At 48.0% G+C, this 22399-nt stretch overlaps 1 long non-coding RNA gene and 1 pseudogene across 4 annotated transcripts, besides 2 other annotated features; both read right to left on the minus strand.

Annotated features, from left to right (window-relative positions):
- Positions 1–461: 461 nt before the first annotated feature.
- LOC102723530 (uncharacterized) lies at positions 462–3884 on the minus strand. Of its 4 annotated transcripts, none has more exons than NR_187669.1 (2): positions 3739–3884; positions 462–2503 (listed from the first exon to the last, which is right to left on the minus strand). It is a non-coding gene; the product is annotated as an uncharacterized LOC102723530 (long non-coding RNA). The 4 variants fall into 4 exon arrangements; NR_187668.1 differs by having other exon boundaries at positions 462–2569; NR_187671.1 differs by lacking the exon at positions 3739–3884 and adding an exon at positions 3617–3707.
- Positions 5429–5942: an enhancer, noted in NCBI's record as "H3K4me1 hESC enhancer chr2:28674597-28675110 (GRCh37/hg19 assembly coordinates)". NCBI's record gives its function as "activates a minimal SCP1, AML or CMV promoter by ChIP-STARR-seq in primed H9 embryonic stem cells {active_cell/tissue: H9 hESC(primed)}" and the evidence as "EXISTENCE:reporter gene assay evidence [ECO:0000049][PMID:30033119]".
- Positions 5943–6456: an enhancer, noted in NCBI's record as "H3K4me1 hESC enhancer chr2:28675111-28675624 (GRCh37/hg19 assembly coordinates)". NCBI's record gives its function as "activates a minimal SCP1, AML or CMV promoter by ChIP-STARR-seq in primed H9 embryonic stem cells {active_cell/tissue: H9 hESC(primed)}" and the evidence as "EXISTENCE:reporter gene assay evidence [ECO:0000049][PMID:30033119]".
- SNRPGP7 (small nuclear ribonucleoprotein polypeptide G pseudogene 7) lies at positions 13756–14096 on the minus strand (annotated as a pseudogene).

A 22399-nucleotide genomic window follows, 5' to 3' on the forward strand; every position in this document is an offset into this window, starting at 1 on the left:
TGTGTAGAATACTGGCAGCTTAAAGAAACTGGAAACCAAAGCAACAAGGACTTCTCCCTTCATTCCCAGGAGCTGAGAAGGTGTGCTGGCTCAGAGGACGGAGGCCAAGTGGGCACTTTTTTTACTTATTAATAAAATATACATTCAGACAGGGCACAGTAGCTCAAGCCTGTAATCCCAGCACTTAGGGAGGCCGAAGCGGAAGGATCGCTTGAGCCCAGGAGTTTGAGACTAGTCTGGGCAACATAGTGAGACCCTAGCCCTAAAAAAAATTGAAAAATTAGCTGGGGGTGGTGGCACACAACTGTGGTCCCAGCTACTCAGGAGGCTGAGGTGGGAGGATTGCTTGAGCCCAGCTGGTCAAGGTTGCAGTGAGCCATGATTGTGCCACTGCACTCCAGCCTGGGTGACACAGTGAGACTCTGTCTCAACTACAATGCAATACAATAAAGTATGTACTCATATTTGCCCAGCACTTTATTCCATTTTGAGCCTTTGAGGGGAACAAGTTAGGTATTGTTATCTCCATTTTATAGCCAAGGAACTGAAGCTCAGGGCAGTCATGTAAGCTGCTAGTGTCCTATCACAGGCAACTATTGGAGCTGGGATTTGAACCCAGGTCCCTTAATGACTAGTCCAGCCCCTACATCCCTGAACTGTGAGGGCTTCCTCTAAACAGAGGGCTCTGTTAGCCTTTCGACTTGTTTTCTATCCAAGATCATCTTTCAGCAAGTGGGCTCAGCCTGGACCCAACAATTGTCCCTTGCCTTCCTAGACCACACTCTTACAGAGGTCCTGGCCGTGGGTACTCCTGGGGGATGCTCAGTTCCAGGTCACTTTCCCCTCCTCCTAGCCTGGGACTTGACCCAGGAGAGCTGGCTGCCTTCAGAGGAGAACCTTTTCCAAGGAAGTCACAGGGGAGAGAGCCAGGGGAACCCCGGTAGGATGGAGAGTCTGTGGGTGGGTCTGCCCAGACAGTGGGAGTTGACCAAGCATCAGCTCCCAAGAGGCCCAAGCCTAAGGAGTTAAGTACTAGCAGTCAGGCATTTTGGCTATGGATTGGCTGAGGGACCTGACCTCTAACCCTGTGTCTTCCTTTCTTGCGTTTCCCAGCCCACTTCTTCCCATAGAGCCATGAGAAGACATCCTTGGTTCACTGGAGGAGGAAACCCTGCAGGAAACACACCTGGGAAAATAACTCCCATTTCGAGGCAGAAATGATTATTCTCAGTATATTGATGAGGAAACTGAGGCTTTGGAGGTTACATAACTCAGGCTATACCACCCAGCTAGTGAAGGGGGCAGAACAAGAGTTCAGATCTGATGGTGTGGTGGCCATTTCACCAAATCATCCTGCCTTAGAAAACCTGCAACAGCCCAGAACAGGCACCTCGACCACCTCACTGCAGACGCTAACCTCAGATGGTGACCAAAGAGAAAGCCTGACATGGGAAAATGACTTGAGATCAGAGGCTACATTGAGCTGTATTGTGCGCCCCACTCCTCCAAATGTATATGTTGAAGTCCTAACCCCCCAGAACCTCAGAATGCAACTGTATTTGGAGACAGGGTCTTTAAAGAGGTAATTAAGTTAACATGATGTCATTGGGGGGGACTAAATTAAATGTAACTGGTGTCCTTACAAGAAGTGATTAGAACCAAACAGACACAGGGGGAAGACCATGGGCAGACACAGCAAGATGGCAGCCATCTCCAAGCCAAAGAGAGAGGACTTAAAAGAAAGGACCCCTGCTGGCCCCTGTCAGTCTTCCAGCCTCCAGAATTGTGCAAGTATAAATTTCTGTTGTTGAAGCCACCTGATGTACAGTATTCTCTTCTGACAGCCTCAGCAAACTCATTCAGAGCCCCTTAAAAAATCATCTCTGTCCCCAGTTCCTGCACACAGTAGGCACCGAATCCACATTTGTTAACTGGCTGAAGGAAGTGCCATGAACGCTGGGCTCTCCAATAGGTGGAGAAGATTCAAATTTTGATTTTTGCAACCAGCCTCCTTCCTCTTGTTGAAACTTCCTGTTTCTGAGGAATAGAGATTTTACAGATCCCAGAGGGCATCCAGTAAACCCAGCAGCTATTACCAAATAATTCTGGTTTTGATGATCTCAGTGAGTATGAATCAGAAGCAAGCAGACTTGCGTTTCTTTTGAAATATACCCAAGGTTAAACGTTAGAGGAAGAAGCAAAAACATATCGGAAAATGTATTGCTAGCAAGGAACTATTTGTGTTGTTGGTGCCCAAGGCCTGATGAGATGGGCTTTCCTTCCTTCTGTGTGGAGCAGAACCTGGTGAAGGCTTGAGTGACCAACGTTGTTGCTGCTCGGGCCAAAGCAACCTCTTCCTGTCCAAGTGCCCATCCTCACGGTTCTCACCTGGATCTCTTATTTGAAAAAGAGAATTCCAGGGTTGAGGGTGCCTCCTGGAGCCCTCATCATCCAGGTGACTGCTGTGGCCTGGAGGAGGTCCTGGCCCTTGTAGAAGGGCACCCTGGTGGAATAGGAAGGTTTGGGATAGGAAGAGAGTATGGGGTCCACACAGCTACAAGCCAGGGTCCTGCAATGGGATCAAACAGGGCATGGGTAAGATGGTTGAGGCTGGGGTGGTGTCAGGTCACCATGAAGCCGGGCTGCTTTTAGGGGCATCACTTGGAACAGGCAGCATTCGGGCAGGGGCTGTAAAACACTTTGGAAATTGGAGTTCGAGCAGGAGCTCCTAGGGAGGACTTGTGGTGCAAGGGAGGGCTTGGAATTAAGTGGGAAGAGCCCAGACAACCCTGGCTTCTGCTTCTGGCTCTGCCACATGCTAGCCGAGGGGCCTGGCAAGCTCTGTCCTCTAGAGAACCTCAATCTCTCCATCGTCAGGGGACACTGGGCCACCTTCGAGGATCAATGGGGTTCTGGAGAAAAGGAGTGGCATGGGATGATGTGCGAAAAAACCTCCAGCCCAGGCAGGACACTGGTAAGGGCTGGAGCCAGGCACGGGTCTGTCAGGGTGGGACTTGGCCATCGCACGCTCAGGGGTTCCTCTCCCAAGAAGGGGGAATGTGGCCAGGAGCCCCAGGGTTGGTGCCTTCAGGATCCTCAGGGCCTGCAGGGCAGCAGCTCAGATTCTTTAGGAAGTGGCTGCCCCTCCCTCCTCAAAGCCATTTCTCTCCCTTCACCATCTCAGGAACTTCTTGCACTTCCCCAAACGTTCCCGAGCCCCCACCTCCATGCCTTCCTGCACGATGCTCTTCCCGCGGCCTGAAACTCCCTTCCCTTCCCATGTCTGGCTTCTGCCTACTCCTCCCACACGATTATCTCAGATATCTCTCCCCACCCCGCGTCTTCTCCCAGGGAGTCTTTCCTGACCACTCCCTCTGCATGGAGCCTGGCTGTCTGTGTCTGTCTGTCTGTCCATCCATCTGTCAGCCATGCCTCTGGCCTCCTGCCACACCTCCCTCTCCCGGTGCCCACCCACACCCTGCAGTGGAACTCTATTTCCCCTCTGGACCATGAGCTCCCGGGCCCTGGCCCTGATCTTCCCTCTCAGGGGCCTAGTCCAGGGTCTGAAACATAATAACAGCTCAATAAATGAGTGTCAAAACAATTACTGGCTTACTCAATGAATGACTTCTGAATACAGGGCCCACTTCTACAAATGAGTCACAAGTCTGAGCCACCGTGCCCTGCCCCCACCCACTGACCCCAGTGAAACCCTCCCTGTGATGACATCATCATTACCTTGAATTCTCAGAATCACCGGTGCCTTCTATCTTCTCCTTTTACTCTACCTGCTTCTAAATCCCCCTCCTCCTCCTTCTTTCCCCCTCCTCTGGGGGCAGCACATCTAAATAAGGTAGTGTTCCTTCCGGGCTGTGAATTATCAGGATTTTCATCTAGTGACTCGGGAAATTGTGAGACAGAATCAGGAAGTCGATCCCCAAGTGCTGGACAAGGAGATGCGATGCCAGTTGGCCCCTGGTGCTCTGGAGTTAACTGAGTAGGAGACTGGGAGGACCTAGGTAGGGAAGGAGGAGGCTTGAGCTGAGGAGAATGGGTATGGGGTGTGGGAAACTGGCGGGGTTGGGCTCCTTACAGACTGCACAGGCCAAGGCATCCCTGGTCTGGCATGAAGGGAGAGGCCACTGCCCTGTCCCATACACTTGGCTGCCTAAGGTCCTTTGTGGGGAGGCAACCATCCTCCCCACACCCAACTTAGATGATCAGGAAGGAGCCCACCCAGGGAACATCCCTGCCTCTCATCTCATCTTCTCTCCTGTGACTCCTCCTGTCTTTTTCCCTAAATGTCATGGAGGTGTTTCTGGCACAAGTAGTGAGGAGCTGGCCAACCAGAGCATGCCCCGGGGTCACTGCCATTTTCATGTCATACCCTTTTCATGAAGAAATAAATTAGGACCCTGCTTCTGGAAAACTGATGTTTGTGACATCATGTAGGGAACAGATGGGATATTTGAGATTCTTGAAAAAGGATCATATATATCTCAATAAAAGGCAACTTCTGAGGCCAGAGGAAAACATAATAAATAAAAGGACTGCTGCTTCCTGTATCAGGTGGGAAAAGCATGACATGAGTTAACCCAAAAAATGTTTTTTTGTAAACAAGTAAAAGTAAATAAACCCAAGAAGGGCAGGAAAGTCAAAGGTTGTTTCTTGACAGGTTTGTCAAGGGGTACAGGGGTCCCGTGGCAGCATGTCCATCCCCGCCTTCTCACACTGCCTTGCAATCGCCGCCTTGTCTCCGGAGCCCTAGAGGGCAGGGCCATTACGTTATCTCTCTCTCAATCCCCGGGGCCTAGCCTGGGACCTGACACATAGTAGGTGCTCAGTAGGCAGAGAGACCGTATAATTTATCATCCAAACTGGGACACTTCAAGGTCAAAGGAGGCTATTAATAATTACATCTGGACAACAGTTGTAATCTGGGACTGTCTGGACAAAAAGGTGTCTGTTGAATAAGTGAATGAATGAACAAATGAATGAATGAATGATTCTTAGGCTGAGGCTGCTGACACCGAGGCATTCATGGCTTCCTACATCCGTTGGTGCCACTGTCTAATAGAAAATTCACCCGTGTATACCATGTATACCAAGCTGGGATTGAAAGTCCATCTCCGTTCTTAGCTTGCAGACTGGGACTCCACTGCAGAGAGAAACTGGGCTGAGCCGGAAGGGCCCTGCAGGTGCTGCTCAGAGCATCTTCCTCCACTTTCCTGCTGGCTTGGGCACCAGGAACTCGGCTCTGCGCTTTCTGTTCTTTGTAGCATTTAATCCTTACACCAGCCTTGTGAAGTAGATGTTCTTATTACCTTTTACAGGTGAATCAACCCAGGCTTAGAGAAGTGAAGTATTGTGCCCAAGGCGCTAATATCAGAGATACAACCTATACCCAAGTCTGTGGGACACCGAAGTACGTGCCTCTAAGACGTCACCACCTTGCCTTTTATGTGGCCTTCTCTCAAGAAGAGGACTTAGAGGCTTGGGGCGTCCAGTTTCTGGAGGCAGGCAGGGCCTCCTGTGGCCTGATCCATTGGCTGGAGAGGAGTCAGCAGGGGCTGGGGTCATGGCATTGTCCCAGTGGGAATGGAAAGTTTGCCTCCTGGAGGCGCCCCCTCTGCCCCACGTCTGATTGCGGGCAGAGTCTTGGACGGGGCAGTGGCACATTCAGAACCTCTGGCCAGGCTAGGACCATGAGAAGTGGGCTTTTCATAGGTTACAAGCCCTGTGGCCGTGGGAGCAGGCGGGGCAGGGACCCTGGTCAGCCTGATTCACAGGCCAGGATGCTGCCACCTGAGCCTTGTAACTGAGCCCTCGTGGCTCCTGAGGGTGGGTTAAGGAGGAGAAGGTGTTCCGAACCGGAACTCCTAACCAAGGGCTCTATCAGTCCTTCCACCTCCTGCTTCCGGCCCGCCCCACACCTACCCCCTGGAGGGCCGTGGAGTTTCTTTGATGCACGGCCTGGCTGTTTTTCCAGAACGTGGTTCATTTGCAGTCCCAGCCCATCGGGAGAGCGGCCTGAGAGTCTGAGGGCTCCAGCCCAGGGGAGAGGCTTGCTGGGGCCTGGCTGGGCTGAAGTGGTGGAGAGGGGAGAGGCCAGGCCCAGAACCTCTTTTTCCCTCTTGTGTTCCCAGGCCGGTCAGGCTCCTGCTGGGCGATTGATGGAGGTGAGAGGATGTGGGCTAGGGCTGGGTCTGGGCAAGGGCTCTGTGAGGGAGCAGGGTTAGGCACTCTCCCCCGCTCCCCCCACCTGCCTCCCACCTCCACTCTCTGCAGATAGCCCTTGCCCCAAGGCTGCAGCCCAGTTGACATCCCTGAGCCTGGGCCACCAAGCGCAGCTCCCTTGCGCCCTCTAGTGTCTGCCCCTCTCAGGTACAGGGTGCCTTGGGCCAATCTCTGAACCTAGAATTGACCTTCCAAACCGGGCCATTCCTAAGCATGAGGTGGACTCTGTTGACAATGATGCTGGGCAGCAGACGCAAAAAGAGACTGGGCCAGCTGTCTTTTCACTCCACTCAGGTCAGAAGTGCCCCCTCCCCACTCCACTGTGGTCCCCAGAACCATCTCTGGGAACCACCCCATTTGTAAATGAGATAATGCATGTGACGTGCTTAGCAAGGGGCTGGGAGAGTAGGGGACCAGTGACTATGTGGTCAATGAACAGCTATTAGCTCCACTAGGTAGAAGCAATGATCTGTTTGGTCCTGTGCTGGGGGCTCGTTTCCAGGGGGGAGGACAGAGAAGCTCTGTCCAGTGCTGCTGAGGCAGGAATGAGGACTCCATGTTCGGAGTCTGGCACGGAGCAGGAGGGTGATTTGATGGCTCGGTGTGTGTTGGCTGCAAGAGCAAATGCAAAACGTCAGCCTGAGATTAATCAAGACATCCTTCCACTTACCGTTTCGGGTCTTGTTGGGGAGTTTGGAAGGAAAACTGCCTTTCCAGCAAGATGTTTTGACATGATGCCTTTTCCCTGGCATGCGTTGTCTCCTTCTCCCCACCCATCCCCTTCGCCACAGCTTTAGGGATGACCTCTGCCCTGCTGGGTGCCCTTGATGACTAACACAGCAAGTGTGTGGACCGCCACCTGTCCTGGCCTCACCCACCTTCACCCTCCATTTCTTCATGACTGCCCCCGTGGCTTCTAGGGGGAAGGCCCCAGACAGGTTTGCTAAACTACTGACTCCCAGGGCTCCCTGACAGGGCCTGATGCAGGGTGGCCAGCGGTTGTGACCCCTAGACCAGGTGGGTCCCAGCACAGGGACCTGAGCCCCACCCTCAGGGAGCTGGCGGCTACACGGGGAGCGGTCACCTGTACAGATAAATCTAGTGGAAAGCCCCCATGGCCAGAACCAGGGCGGAGGGCCTGGGGCAGGCTCTGGAGTATAGAAGAGGGAAGGCGCCTTTGGAACAGACAGCAGAGAGAAGAGCCTGCAGGATGAGTGCGAAGGATTGCTGTGGACAGAGGTGGGCCAGGGCTCAGCTCGAGGGCTCCCAGGGAAAGGAGCCTGGGGTGGCCTGGGCACCGTGTGTGTGTGTGTGTATGTGTGTGCGCGCGCGTGCATGTGCGTGTGCATAGGTATGATTCAGGGAGACATAAGGGACTTTGGCAAAGTCAGGAGGATGTGGGGGCTAAGCAAACACCACTTTGAAGACTTCTCTTTGGCATGGGGTGTGACAAGCCAGGTCTGGTGCCTTGTTGAGGAAAGGGAGAAAACTCTGAGTTGGTTTTTGTGTTCCTCAAACCAGTTTGCCCACATCCTTGGCATCATCTGTGCCCTGTGAAGGGCCCGCTTGGAGCCATGCATGTCTGGGCCTGAGGGTGGCGGTGCCTACGTGAGGCCCTGCGGTCTCTTCAGGAGCTCCCCGAGAGGGGCACTTGGCCACTGTTGGAGCTGAGAGGGGCCTGGCCCAGCTCACCCGCCTCTCCTGCTTCTCACCCAGCCCCTGCTGCTGAGAGCTCTGGCAGCCTCCGTGTGCACAGCAGGCCTGGGCTCAGTCACAGGTAGCTCTTCTGTCTGCTCCACGGTGGCTCTCCTCAGGGCCTTGGCTCTCATGTGAGGCTTCCAGCTGCTGCTCACACTCAGAGCTTTGCATGACCAGCAACACACAGGCAGATAAGAGCATTGGGTCTAGGGCGAGAAAATCCTGGGTTCAAGATCAGGCTCTGCCATTTACCAGCTATGTGGCCTCAGGCAGGTTGAACTCTTTGAGCCGCAGTTATCTCATCTGTAAATTGGGGATAATAACACTTAATGGTACTTATCTCATGGGGTTGTCATGAGGATCAAATGAGATGATGTGTGTGTAAACACCTTACAGAGGGCTCCACTAATGGAAGGCATTATTATTGCTGTTTCCATACCACACGACACTCACCCAAGAATGGAAGTTCATGTTCTGACTGTCAATGACGTGTCCAGCATTCCTCCTGTGCTCATTTCATAACTATTCGTTGAGCCTCCTTGGTGCCAGGCACTGTTCTAGACTCTTGGGCCATAAAAATCAATAAAACACAAGATCCCTGCCTCCTTACGGCTGACCTTCTAGGGGAGAGACTTTCACATACCCCAATCTACTTAGCACACATTCCAACCTCTCTCTGGCATCTGCAAACTCAAGTCTGCAAGGTGAAGCAACATCCTAAGCTGCTAGGAACTCTCTCCATAAGTACTCATCCAGATGGCCTGGTGATACGGACAGGAGACAGGGAAATACTGGGTAGAAGAGGGTGGCTCCTGGCAAAGGCCCCACCCTCAAGCCTGAAGACCCACGGCCCTAAATGAGGACAGGCATTCCTGTTTTTGAGCGGAAAAAGTTGCCTTTTGGCCTGCCACACCCCCTATCCTGCACCCATATAAACCCTGAACCCCAGGCTTCAGAAACAGACGAGCAAGCCAGCAGACCAGCAGACGGACAGTGGAACGATGCAGTAGAGAAAGAGAGAGGAGGAGGAACATCTGAACATGGAGAGGAGTTTGACTGGGGACGGTCAGAGAGGAGTCCGGCTGCTGGGCTCCTGACTCCAGGGGAAGATCACCTTCCTACTCCATACCCCCCTTCTGGCTCCTCATCCGTCCCACTGAAAGCTACCTCTACCATTCAATAAAACCTCGCATTCATCCTTCAAGCCCATGTGTGACCCAGTTTTTCCGGGATGCTGGATAAGAGCTTGTGATACAGAGAGCTGTCACACTGGCCCTCTGCCCTTGCGAAAAGGCAGAGGGTCCATTGAGCTGGTTAACACATGCTGTCTGCGGACAGCAAAGCTGAAAGAGCTTTGTAACACTGGGGTTGCAGGCACCCACCTTTAGACACTACAGTAGGGCCAGAGCCCAAATGGCTCACCCTGGCCTCTGCACCTTCCCATCTGCATGCTCCACCTCCTGAGAGGGATTTGAGCAGCAGGGGTGACCGAAAAGGCAAGCGGCACATCCTGAGGGGGATCGGGGACCTCTCCTGTTTCACTGCAGAAGTCCTTTCGTGGCAAAACAAGGTCATGTTGAGACAACACTCAGAGCATTGTCGTGAAAAGGGAGCACAATCATTAAGAGTAGTTGCCCATTTTACAGATGAGGAAATTGGGGCCCAGAAAAGTTTAACTGCCTTGCCCTAGGTTATGCTGCTGCTCAGTAACAAAATAACTTAGTCAACAAATATTTGCTGAGCCCCTATTTTGTGCCAGCCACTGCTTTGGGCACTGGGGCACAGTCAGTGCCTTAGTGGAGCTTGCATTCTCTAAAGGGGTGACTTAAAATAAATATGTAAACAGGTGAGCTCATTTCAGACATGATGAGTGCTAGGCGGAAAATCATACAAGATAATGGGAGGGACAGTGACTTAGGAATGGGGTAGTTGGGGAAGGCCTCCGGGGAGGTGACACTGAAGTCAAGGAACCAAGCAGAGGACACTTCCGGTGGAAGTTATCCTAAATGGTGACCCAGATAAGAGACTCAAAGGATTCCCTACAGCTCACTTAAAAGGCAAAGGAGAAAATGTGGCTGTGAGTCCTCCTAGGGAGAGCAGGGGTTTCTGAGCTGTGGCCTGAGGAGCCAGGTGGCCCTCCTTGTAAAACAGAGCTCAGGGCATCTGGGGATCCTTTTGTTTTGTTTTCTAATAGACTTTATTTTTTAGGTTCATAGCAAATTTGAAAACAAAGTATAGAGAGTCCCCATATACCCCTGCCCCTACATGTGTAGTACATTCATTAAATCAAGAACCCACATGGATGCATCATCACCCAAAGTCTATATTTACATTGGGGTTCACTCTTGGTGTTGATGTCCTATGAGTTCTAACCGAAGTGTGATGACTTTATCCACTGTCACAGCATCTTAGAGTAGTTTCACGGCCCTAAAAATCCTCTGTGCTCCGCCTGTTCATCCCTCCCTCCCCACAACCCCTGGCACCCACTGGTCTTTTTGCTGTCTCCGTAGTCTTGCCTTTCCCAGAGTGTCATATAGTTGGAATCATACAGTATGCACCCTGTTCATACTGGCTTCTTCCACTTAATAATATACATTTAAGTTTTCTCCATGTCTTTTCATGGCTTGGCAGCACATTTCTTTTTAGCGTTGAATGAAATTTGCATTTTCTGGATGTAGGGGCTTGATATGGTTTGGCTCTGTGTCCCCACCCAAATCTCATCTTGAATGATACGCCTGTAACTCCCACGTGTTGTGGGAGGGACCCGGTGGGAGATCATTGAATCATGGGGGCGCTTTCTCTCATACTTTCCTTATGGTAGTAAGTCTCATGAGATCTGATTTTTTTTAAATAGGGAGTTTCTGCTTTCGCTTCTGCGTCATTTTTTTCTTGCTGCCGCCATGTAAGTAGTACCGTTCGCCTTCCGCCATGATTGTGAGGCCTCTCCAGCCACGCAGAACTGTGAGTCCAATCAGCCTCGTTCTTTTGTAAATTGCCCAGTGTCGCGTATGTCTTTATCAGCAGCGTGAAAACGGGCTAATACAGGCTTCTTTCTTGTTTTGTTTGCTTGACATTTGGCTTTTTCCTTGCTTTCCTGCAGTGGTTTCAGCCTGCAAGCCCTTTCATTTCCGAGGGATGGGGTGGGGCAGGGCCATGCTGTTGCGGGTGCTGTGTTCTCCAGGCTGGGAAAGGCAAGGCCATTCTGGGCCCTGAGGCTGCGTCACCTCCGGTGCCCAACAGGCGGCCACACCACCATGTTCTGCTTTAAACAGGTCATGACTGCGTGGGGCATAGGGTTATTGGGGCATTGTGTGCAGGACCAAGATGGAAATGGGGGCTGCTCCCCCCAGGCCTCTTCTCCCTCCTGCTCCCTTGGGCCAGGTGGGCAGCTCAGTTGTATTTCTTGGTTTGGGAAGGGGGAAGACCTGGGGCATTTTGCCATTTGCTTGCCTAGCCCTCACTCAGTATTGTCTCCTGGAAGACTGGAAAGTTCTGGGAAATCTGGTCCTCATCATAGAATCTGATCTGAAGTAGGTGGCTCCCAGCGCAAAGGTTCCATTTGCCTGGAGAGAGCCTCATGGGGTGAGGAGAAAGGATGCCGGTATGTTTTGCCCTTGGGGCTGGCAGCCTAAAGGGAAAAACATTTCTGGTGAAGGAGGCTGCTGCCTTTTGTTATCGAGATTGAACCCTACCAACAGAGGGATGGGTAAACAAAATGTGTTCTATCCATACAATGGAGATGATTCAGCCTGAAGAAGTAAGGAAATTCTGACACCTGCTATAGCATGGATGAGCCTTGAGGACATCTGTTAGGTAAAATAAGCCAGTCACAAAATGGCGAATATTGTCTGATTCTACTGATAGGAGTAGTCAAATTCATAGAGACAGGAAGTAGAAGGGTGACTGCCAGGAGCCTGAGGAAGGGAGAAATGGGGAATCAGTGTCCAACAGGTGCAGGTTTCAGTTTTGGATGATAAAACGAGTTCTGCCTTTGCAGCAACATGGATGGAGCTGGAGATCATTGTCCTAAGCAAACTGAGGTAGGAACAGAAAACCAAATACCGTATGTTCTCACTTATAAGTGGGAGCTAAATAATGAGAACACATGGACACAGAGAGGGGAACAACACACACTGGGGCCTCTCAGAGGGTGGAGGGTGGGAGGAGGGAGAGGATCAGGAAAAATAACGAATGGGTACTAGGCTTAATACCTGGTTGATAACATAATCTGTACAACAAACCCCCATGACACATGTTGACCTAAGTTACAAACCTGCACATGTACCTGTAATTAAAAGTTAAAAAAAATAAAGAATTCTGGAAATGGATGATGGTGTTGGTTGCCCAGCATTGTGGGTGTAGTTAACACCGCTGAACTGTACACTTAAAAATGGTTAAAATGGTAAATTTTATGTTATGGCTATGTCAATCTAAAGAAAGAAATGGAGGCAAAATTAATATAAAGAGTTTATTTGGGCCAAGGTTAAGGACTATAGCTCAGGACACACTTCCAAGTTGTCTTGGCAATGCTCTGTTTGGCCTCTGCTACAAGCAGGTTATTTTGTTTTTTTCTGTTTTTTGTTTTTTGAGACGGAGTCTCGCTCTGTCGCCCAGGCTGGAGACTGGGGCCTCTCAGAGGGTGGAGGGTGGGAGGAGGGAGAGGATCAGGAAAAATAACGAATGGGTACTAGGCTTAATACCTGGTTGATAACATAATCTGTACAACAAACCCCCATGACACATGTTGACCTAAGTTACAAACCTGCACATGTACCTGTAATTAAAAGTTAAAAAAAATAAAGAATTCTGGAAATGGATGATGGTGTTGGTTGCCCAGCATTGTGGGTGTAGTTAACACCGCTGAACTGTACACTTAAAAATGGTTAAAATGGTAAATTTTATGTTATGGCTATGTCAATCTAAAGAAAGAAATGGAGGCAAAATTAATATAAAGAGTTTATTTGGGCCAAGGTTAAGGACTATAGCTCAGGACACACTTCCAAGTTGTCTTGGCAATGCTCTGTTTGGCCTCTGCTACAAGCAGGTTATTTTGTTTTTTTCTGTTTTTTGTTTTTTGAGACGGAGTCTCGCTCTGTCGCCCAGGCTGGAGTACAGTGGCACGATTTCGGTTCACTGCAACCTCTGCCTCCCGGGTTCAAGTGATTCTCCTGACTCAGCCTCCCGAGTAGCTGGGACTACAGGTGTGCACCACCACGCCCGGCTAATTTTTGTATCTTTAGTAGAGATGGGGTTTCACTATGTTGACCAGGCTGGTCTTGAACTCCCGACTTCAGGTGATCCGCCCGCCTTGGCTTTCCAAAGTGCTGGGATTACAGGCATGAGCCACTGCGCCTGGCCACAAGCAGGGTTTTAAAAGTTAAAGGGGGCGGGTGCTCAGGAGGCTGAGGCAGCTTGAGCCCAGGAGTTTGAGTCTAGCCTGGGTGACATAGCAAGACCTTGTCTCTTAAAAAACTTTTTTAATTGCTTAAACATTTTAGTCAAAAAGGCAAAAGGAGACAATGAGTGGGCTGATAAAAAGTTGTTTGTCAGGAATTCTCATTGGTTAATGGAAATAACATTGATTAGTAATTGGCTATACATTGTTGAACTATAGGGTAAGAGTTATGGCATCCAGAGTGTGTGGCATTTTATAGCTACTTGGTGTCAGTTAGTCTTAGAGCCCACATAGCAAGGGGCTGTAAGACATAATTATTTAGCCCAAGATGGTGGAGAGGATGAGATGTGGCATGCTGTCACTTTTCTTATTTTTTTAACTATTACAAAAGTTTATTTAACAAAAAGTCTAATATGAAAATTTTCATGACCTAATTTTTACATCATAGTGAAATGGACCCTTTGGAGAGGGGACATGAAAGTCTCCGTTGAACAGCCACTATTTACACTTGTTCCAAGGCTTCTGACATGATGATACTATTTCCTCATCTTACCAGCATTGCAATATTGTTCTGTTGCTCGCTAGTTGCCATCTCCACACATTCATCTATCACAAGGTTCATAAAGGGATAAATCCTCGCAGCATTCCTTGGACATGTCTGCCACCGTTTAATTTCAGTGATAACTTCTTGTCCATAATTTTTTTCAGCTTGTGAGGGTGAGCTTTGCCACCTGTTCTGCAGTCTCACAGATGCCTTGAAACGGAATGTGATGTTGTTACTTTTCATTGCCTCTCTGGGCCTGATAACTAAAGAGCGTGCAGATAAAAAGGTTCTCTTCTTTCTCATATATTTTGCTACAATAAAAAAAAATTTTTAGGCCAGGGCAGTGTGACTCATGCCTGTAATCCTAGCATTTTGGGAAGCTGAGGTGGGTGGATCACCTGAGGTCAGGAGTCGAGACCAGCCTGGCCAACATGGTGAAACCCCATCTCTACTAAAAATACAAAAATTAGCTAGGCATGGTGGTGCATACCTGTAATTTCAGCTACTTGGGAGGCTGAGGCAGGAGAATCGTTGAACCCGGGGGGCGGAGGTTGCGGTGAGCAGAGGTTGCTCCACTGCACTCCAGCCTGGGTGAAAGAGTGAGACTCTGTCTCGAAAATAGTATGCCTGTGATCCCAGCTACTTGGGGGTTGAGGCATGAGGATTGCTTGAACCTGGGAGGTCAAGGCTGCAGGGACCTCCACCTGCCTATATCTTACGCCTTGTAAACTAAGATCATGCCACTGTACTCCAGTCTGGGTCACAAAGTGAGACCCTGTCTCAAAAAAAAAAAGACCCATTCATTCGTTCATTCAACAATTGCTTAATTGAATATGAAGGCAGTAAGTGTTAAGAAGAAAAACAGAGCAAGATAGGAAATGTGTGCTCTATTGCTATTTTATTTTGAGTAGCTAGGAAACATTTCATTGATGAGGCATCATTTGAACAGAGAACTGAGGGAGTGAGTCCTGTAGTTACCAGAGAAGATACCAGGACAAATGTAAAGTCCCTGAGGCAGGTACATGGTGTCTTTGAGGAACAGCAAGGAAACCAAGGTGGCCAGATCACAGCAAGAGAAGGAGGAAGTGTATAAAGAGGGGAAGATCAGAGAAGTATCTGGGTCCACATCACCCGGGGCCTTTGTAGACTGTGCTAAGGACTCGTTTCTTTTCCTTGATAAGGTAGAAGGCCAGTGGAGAGTGTTGAGCAAAGAGTGAAAAACTGGCATAGGTGTTAAAAGGTTTCCTTGGCTGCTATGTGGAAAATCACCAGTACAGTACCAGGAGTAGAAATAGGAGATCAGGGCTGAGTGTGGCAGCTCACACCTGTAATCCCAGCACTTTGGGAGGGCGAGTCAGGAGACCAGCCTGGGCAACATACTGAGACCCCACCTCTACAAAATAAAATAAAATAAAATAAATAGGAGATCAATGAGTAGGCTATTGCAGCAATCCAGGTGTATTCAAAACTCTTCTAGAAATAAGAAAAAAAAAAACAAAACAGTGGCTTGGACCAGGAAGACAAAGAAAGGCAGAAAAAATGGTCAGATTCTGAATACATTTTAATTTGAAGGTAGAAACAAGAATCCTTGTTGGGGTGTAAGAAAAAGAATGAATGCCATGGTTTTTGCCTGGGAACCATTAAGCCGGTGTTTCCATCACCAAGACAGGCAAGTCTATGGGAAAAAGCAGGTTTAGGTGGGTCAGAGTGGGAATCAGGATTTTTGTATTGACCTAGCTTTTTACTGTTTCCCACACTCTTCCTTTGTTTCTAATGATCCACATTTGTCTTCTGTATTGTTGCCTTTCAGCCTGAGAACTTTCTTAAGCATTTCTTGTAGTGAAGATGCTAATGGTGAATTCTTTTAGTTTTCTTGTTTTTGGGGAAATTTCTTTGTTTTACCTTCATTTTTGAAGGATATTTCATAAATCTGGGTTTGAAAAACTGGCTTCTGCCCTCCATGGTTTCTGATGAGAAGTCACCAGTGATTTGATTTTTTTTCCACCCCATGTGTAACATATCTTTTTTCTTGGGCTGTGTCAAGATTTCCTCTTTATCTTTGATTTTTAGCAGTTGGACTATGATGTGCCTAAGGGAGATTTTCTTTGTATTTATCCTACTTGAGGTATGCTGGGTTTCTTGAGTCTGTAAATGCATGTCTTTCACCAAATAAGGGGAAATTTTAGCCATTGTTTCTTCAAATATTTTCTCTTCTTTTATCCTGTAGTCTTTCTTTTTTCCTTCTGGGGTTTCATTTCACATGTTAAACATTTTGATACTGTTTTTACAGGCTCTTGAGGCTCTGTGTTTTTGTTGTTGTTGTTTGTTTTCAATCTTTGTTCTCTTTGTTGTGATTGGATACTTTTTGTACTGATCTGATTTCAAGGTTGTTGACTCCTTTATTATCTGAACACTGTTGTTAAGCCAAACTGGTGAATCTTTTATTTCAAACATTATCTTTTCCAGTTCTAGAATTTCTATTTAGTTTTCCTCTAAATCAAGTTTCTCTGCTGAGGTTTCCTATCTTTTTATTTGTTGTACATGTATCATCCTCAGCTTGCAAAGCATAGTTATAATAGCTACTTGAGAATTATGATTTTGTTAATTCCAATATCTAGGTCATCTCAGGGTCAGTCTCTGTTGATTGTCTTGTCTCTTAAAAATGGATCACATTTTCCCTGTTCTTCATATATGAAATAATTTGGATATTCTGAACATTATGATTGTTAAGTTGTGGAGACTCTGGATTCTGTTATTTCCCCTAACTGCTGATTTTTTTTTTTTTTTAATATAGATTCTTAGTTTGTCACTCAGGCTGGAGTGTGGTGGCACAATCATAGCTCACTGCAGTCTCAAACTTCTGGGTTCAAGCGATCTTCCCACCTCAAGCCTCCCAAGTAGCCACCATGCCTGGCTACTTTTTTAAATTTTTATTTAAATTTTATTTTTTGTAGAGAGGTGTCTCGCTATGTTGCCTAGTCTGGTCTCACACTCCTGGCTTCAAGTGCTCCTCTGGCTCCAGCCTCCCAAAGCACTGGGATTAAAGGATTGAGCCACTACGTCTGGCCAAATGCTGATTTTTAAATTTTGTTTTGTTTTAAGCAAGCTATTAACTTGGTTGGATCAAGCTGTAAACCATCTCTTGAGCACCAGTTTAAATCTCAGTTTAGTTTGTACATTCTTATCTGGGCTGCTTGAGCCTGCCTCATGCATGCATGGACTAGGAATTGGCCAGAGATTTGGACAGTTTATACACAGAATTTGTGGTTCTTCTTCTCTGCGTCTCTCTGTTTATGGATTCTCCCTCTCACTTTCCAATGGCTGTGGTTGCCTCGAACTCTATCCTTTGATTCTTTAGGCCAGAAGGACTGCAGACTTTCTATCATCATTTTATCTGCCCTGTGTGACTCTACCATGGCCTGCCTTTTGGATAAAAGCCATAAAAACTGTGAAACTCATCGCATATGCATCTTCCTTTTCCAAGTAGTAACTCCTCTCCAGAAACTGCCTGCTTTTGTTCACACTCCAGGGCCTTCAGGTCGTTGTTTTTCCTATTTTGTTCAGAGTTTATGGTAGTTACCTGTAGGGGTTTATACAGCAGGAGCTCACTATGCTACCCTGGAAACAGAACTGCGAGAAGTTTTGTTTGGACACATTACATTTCAGATGGTCACAAGATATGCAAGTGAAGATGTGCACTAGCCAGTTGGATGTATGCACCCGGAGCTCTGGAGATAAATCATTTAACATTTGACAGGGTATAGAAGGTATGAAGAGTCATGTGTGTGGGTAAAATCACCTAGGCCGTGAGTGTAGATGCATAAGAGAAACAGGTCCAGAACCCAGATCAGTGCACTCCAGTGTTTACACACCAGCATGATGAGGAAGAAGTAAGAATGCAGATGAGAAAGAGTGGGCAATGTCGAAAGAGGAAAACCACAAGAGCGTTGTCTTGAAGTCAAAATGAAGAAAGTATTTCAAAAAAAGACAGAGTGACCAAAGGTATCAAATGCTGTTAATGGCTTAAGTAAGATAAAGATGAAAAGTTCACTACTGGGTTTAGCAACATGAAGGTCCTTGGTGAACTGACAACAGTTTTGTTCCAGTGGAAGACTCAGAACTCACTGAAACGAAGACTTGAATCCATAAGTTTGGAGAAAGCTTTCAAGAAATTTTAACTGCCAAGAGAATAGAAAAATAGGATTGAAGCTGGAGGGGGCTATGAGGTCAAGAGAAGTTATGTTTTGATTTTCGACATTGGGAAAAATTATATCATGTTGGTATGCCAGAGGGCATAATTGAGAGGGGATCATTGATGTGTCAGGAAAGTGAGAGTTGGGCCGGGTGTGGAGGCTCACACCTGTGATCCCAGCACTTTGGGAGGCCAAGGTGGGAGGATCATTTGAGCTCAGGAGTTCAAGACCAGCCTGGGCAACACAGAGAGACCCCATCTCTAATTTAAAGGAAAAAAAAGAAAGTGAGAGTACAGAATCCTGTGCTCCAATGGAGAGCCAGCCTTAGATAGAATTGTAGGCAGCTCATTCATAGCAACTGTCAAATCCACACCATCATTTTTTGTCAGTTCCTTCAGTCTGCAGATGATATTAAAGAAACCTATTCAATAAGTTAAGCAATTCAGGAATATGGAGACAGGGGATACAGACTATGCCACTAATTCATTGCCATACCCCAGGCGATCTTATGGAAGAGGCACTAAGGGGCTGAGATGGAGGGATGGAGGGAACAGGACTGGCCATGGGGTGGACTCCAAAGACATGATGCATGCAGAAGTTCCTGGCTTCCTCCTGGGCTAGGGTGAGGAGTGTGGCCAATATGCAAGTGTCAGGATGGTGGTGGTCACGGTGGGGAGGTATGTCTGCGAATGGTGGGACACACAGACCTCATTTGAGAAAACGGATAGCAGCTTCCCGAGGAAAGTCTGGAATCTGCCTGTGCACTCTGCTGTGGCCTCTTCGACTCAGGAATGAAGCCCATCAGAGCTTGGTCCCAGGCCTGGTTGTCACCTTGCTCCCATCAGGATTGCACTTGGTTGCCATCTTGCTCCACCCCTGGCCAGATAAAATTAATCTGAGACAGGATTTGGCTCACAGAGCAGGGTTGCCCCCACTCTGTCTCTGACCTAGTGGCTTTCAAACTCGTTTTCACCAATTTTACATCGTAATTTGGTGCACATACATATATGATATATAGACTTACATAGTATTGAAACAAAACTTTAATGAAACATTTGGTCATTTAATCACTTGTGATGCGCTCTGGTATTTTCCATTTTTTTTAATGCTAGTTACAACCAACGAAACTGATTTCATGACTTCTAACCTGTAGTTGGGAAAATACCACTGTAACCACATAGATGACTTTGCTCTCGTCTGTCTCGTTCTTTCAGGGTGATGAGCAGCATAAAGATTCCAAGAAGCCTCAAACTGAGTTGATTATCTCGGTGTATCTATCTGTTCCCATAGATTAGCAAATGTGAACTTTAGAGCACATTTATGTAAATGTACTGTTGGTTTCCCTTGACCTGACCTCAAACCTGACTGACTTTTCTGCACACTGAGAGCTACAGTGCTGAGCTCACCACTTCATTCCTTTGTTCTCTCCTTATCTCATCCACTGCACCTCACATTCCATCTTTCCCCACTCAGTCCCCCTGGGAGCCCTTGAAGTTAAACTATTTGAATCATAGACTATCACAGGTGAAAGAGACTTAAGAAGTGTTTGATACAGTTATCCCTTTGGTGTAGTTCAATGATCTCCAGTCTCTGCTTGCATTTCTCCAGTGACAGAGGGCTCACTACTTAGCAAGGTAGTTTCTTTCCTTTCTTTCTTCTTTCTTTCTCTCTCTTTCTTTCTTTTCCTTCCTTCCTTCCTTCCTTCCTTCCTTCCTTCCTTCCTTCCTTCCTTCCTTCCTTCCTTCCTTCCCTCCCTCCCTCTCTCCCTCCCTCCCTCCCTTCCTCTCTCTCTCTCTCTGTCTCTCTCTTTCTTTCTTTCCTTTTGGCCAGATACAGGGCCTTGCTTTGTTGCCCAGGCTGATCTGGAACTCCTAGACTCCAGCAATCCTCCTGTCTCTGCCTGCCAAAGTGCTGGGGTGGCAGGCGTGACCCACGGCACCCAGCCTCATATTTTCAAAATATGCCAGAAAGCTGCATTTTAAAATATAAAATCATCCCATTAAAAAATGCCAACTAATTCAAAATCTTTTTTAAATTTTTCATGAGCTGACAGCCCAGGCTCACTGAAGACACCATGACACTCACATCTGCCTTCAGAGCCCAGTTCTGCGCCCGTAGTGCTGGGAGACTGAGTCTGGGCGGAGCCTGGTAACTTACCCACCCAGCTTTTACCCAGGTCTCTCCAGACGTTCTCAAGTCATTGCTGTAGCCAGGGCCAAATTCAAGAAAACAACCACATTTTCTGAAGAGCCAGAGGGAGCTGGCCTGAGTCTTGCACTAGTGGGTTTTTGTTTGTTTGTTTGTTTTTGGTAAGTGGAGAAAGCAAATGAACCTGGAATACTGTGTCAAAGAAGGCTTTGGATGGAATCCGATCCCCTACCCCGGCCAGGGTACTTACCTACTTGCTTCAGTCTTTCCTTAGCTTCTAGCTTCCTGAGTAACTTCCAACTTTCCTTCTCAATGACTCTGTTTGCTTATCTGTTTGCAAGGTAGTGAACATAAAAATCTTTTTGTGCACTTTCAGATATAAAACATGCAATGACAGGATAAAAATGTAGTTGCTTATCACAAAATTATAAAAGTATCATGGGATCCACAGAATTATAGACTTTTGGAGCAAGAATGGGCCTTTCAACCAGCTAGCTGGCCAAATGAGGTAAACGAATGCAGGGAGTAATTTGCCTAACGTTTTGATGCTGGGCCAGGTGTGGTGGCTCACACCTATAATCCCAGCACTTTCAGAGGCCAAGGTGAGTGGATCGCTTGAGCCCAGGAGTTCGAGACCAGCCTGGGCAACATGGTGAAACCCTGCCTGTACAAAAAAATTAACCAAGTGTGGTAGTGGTCCCAGCTGCATAGGAAGCTGAAGCAAGATGACAGATCACTTGAGCCCAGGAGGTCAAGACTGCAGTGAGCCATGATCGTGCCACTGCACTCCAGCCTGGGTGACAGAGCAAGACCCTGTCTCAAAAAAAAAAAAAGAAAGAAAGAAAGAAAGAAAATACATAGATACAGAAAGGTGAGGCATATAGAGGGCAAACCTCCCAGCAAGTCAGGACCAAAGCTGAGGTGACATCAGGCTCCTGCCCTCAGCCCCTGAGCTCTTTCTTCTACAGTAGGGCTGGGAAAGAAACATGTGAACCTGGGGTGGGAGCAGCGGGCACTCAGAAGGTGTGGGGTAGTAGGGGACCCAAAGGGTCTTATGCACACTGAGAGGAGTGTGAATATGCCTACATGTGCCATGTGCCATAGCACACGTTCTTTGGAGAAGGCACAAGAGATTCACCAAGTCCCACAGGGATGTAGGGAGCTGTGTAATAATGTGAAACCCTCCTTGGAAATTAAGCCATTCATCAATTCACTCAGCCATTTTGCTAATTTATGAAATGCAGACTTTGGGCCATACCCCGCACCTCTCCTTTGGGGGAGGCAAAGGAGCAGAAGCCAGGCTGGCTGCCTTTTTGGAGCTTTCAGCCCTGGGTAGGGAGAAGAATCAGGCCCACATCTAATCAGGAACCAAAGCAGGACCAATCGAGTGGCAGGTGAAGGGCTCAGGCAGCAAGGGCTTGGGGGTTCAGACACCAGGGTGGTTAGAAAGAGCTTCATGGAGGCAAAGGGCAAGGAGAGGATAGAGTCAGAAGGTGGAGGTCTGGGGCCTGGCCAACAGGCAGAACAGACTATCAGATGTAGTTTGGGATGTCAGGAGAAGGAGCCTTCATTTCACTCCTTCCTTGTACCAATGGGAGGAGTTTAAATTCTAGGTCTTCTTAAATTTTTTAAATTTTAAACATTTTTTGAGACAGGGTCTTTCTCTGTCACCCAGGCGGGAGTGCAGTGGCAGGATCATGGCTCACTACCTCCCAGGCTCAAGGGATCCTTCCACTTCAGCCTCCTGAGTAGATGGGACCACAGGCACACAGTCCAACTATTTTTTTTTTGTAGAGATGGGGTCTCGCCATATTGCCCAGGCTAGTCTTGGACTCCTGTTCTCAAGCAATTCTCCTGCCTCGGCCTCCCAAAATATTGGGATTCTAAGTATGAGCCACCTCTCCTGGCCTCTAGGTCTTAATCTACATTCTAATTCATGGCTTTATTCACTTCAACACATTTTTATTGAGCAGCTACTCAGTGCTGCGCTGCTAGGTGCTGGCAACTGGGGCTATAGAAAGGCAAAGTTCTCAAGGACTCCTGCATCTATACAAAGACAGACCTATGATCCACAAAAGACTGAGGATCAGGGCTATTCTGGGGGCACAGGGTGCCAGTGGGCCTGGCCAGAGGAGGGACACCAAGGAAGTTAGGGGAAATGGCAGGGTGGTTTTCCAGGGGCAC

Source organism: Homo sapiens, chromosome 2, assembly GCF_000001405.40.
Source record: "Homo sapiens chromosome 2, GRCh38.p14 Primary Assembly".
NCBI classification, from domain to species: domain Eukaryota; kingdom Metazoa; phylum Chordata; class Mammalia; order Primates; family Hominidae; genus Homo; species Homo sapiens.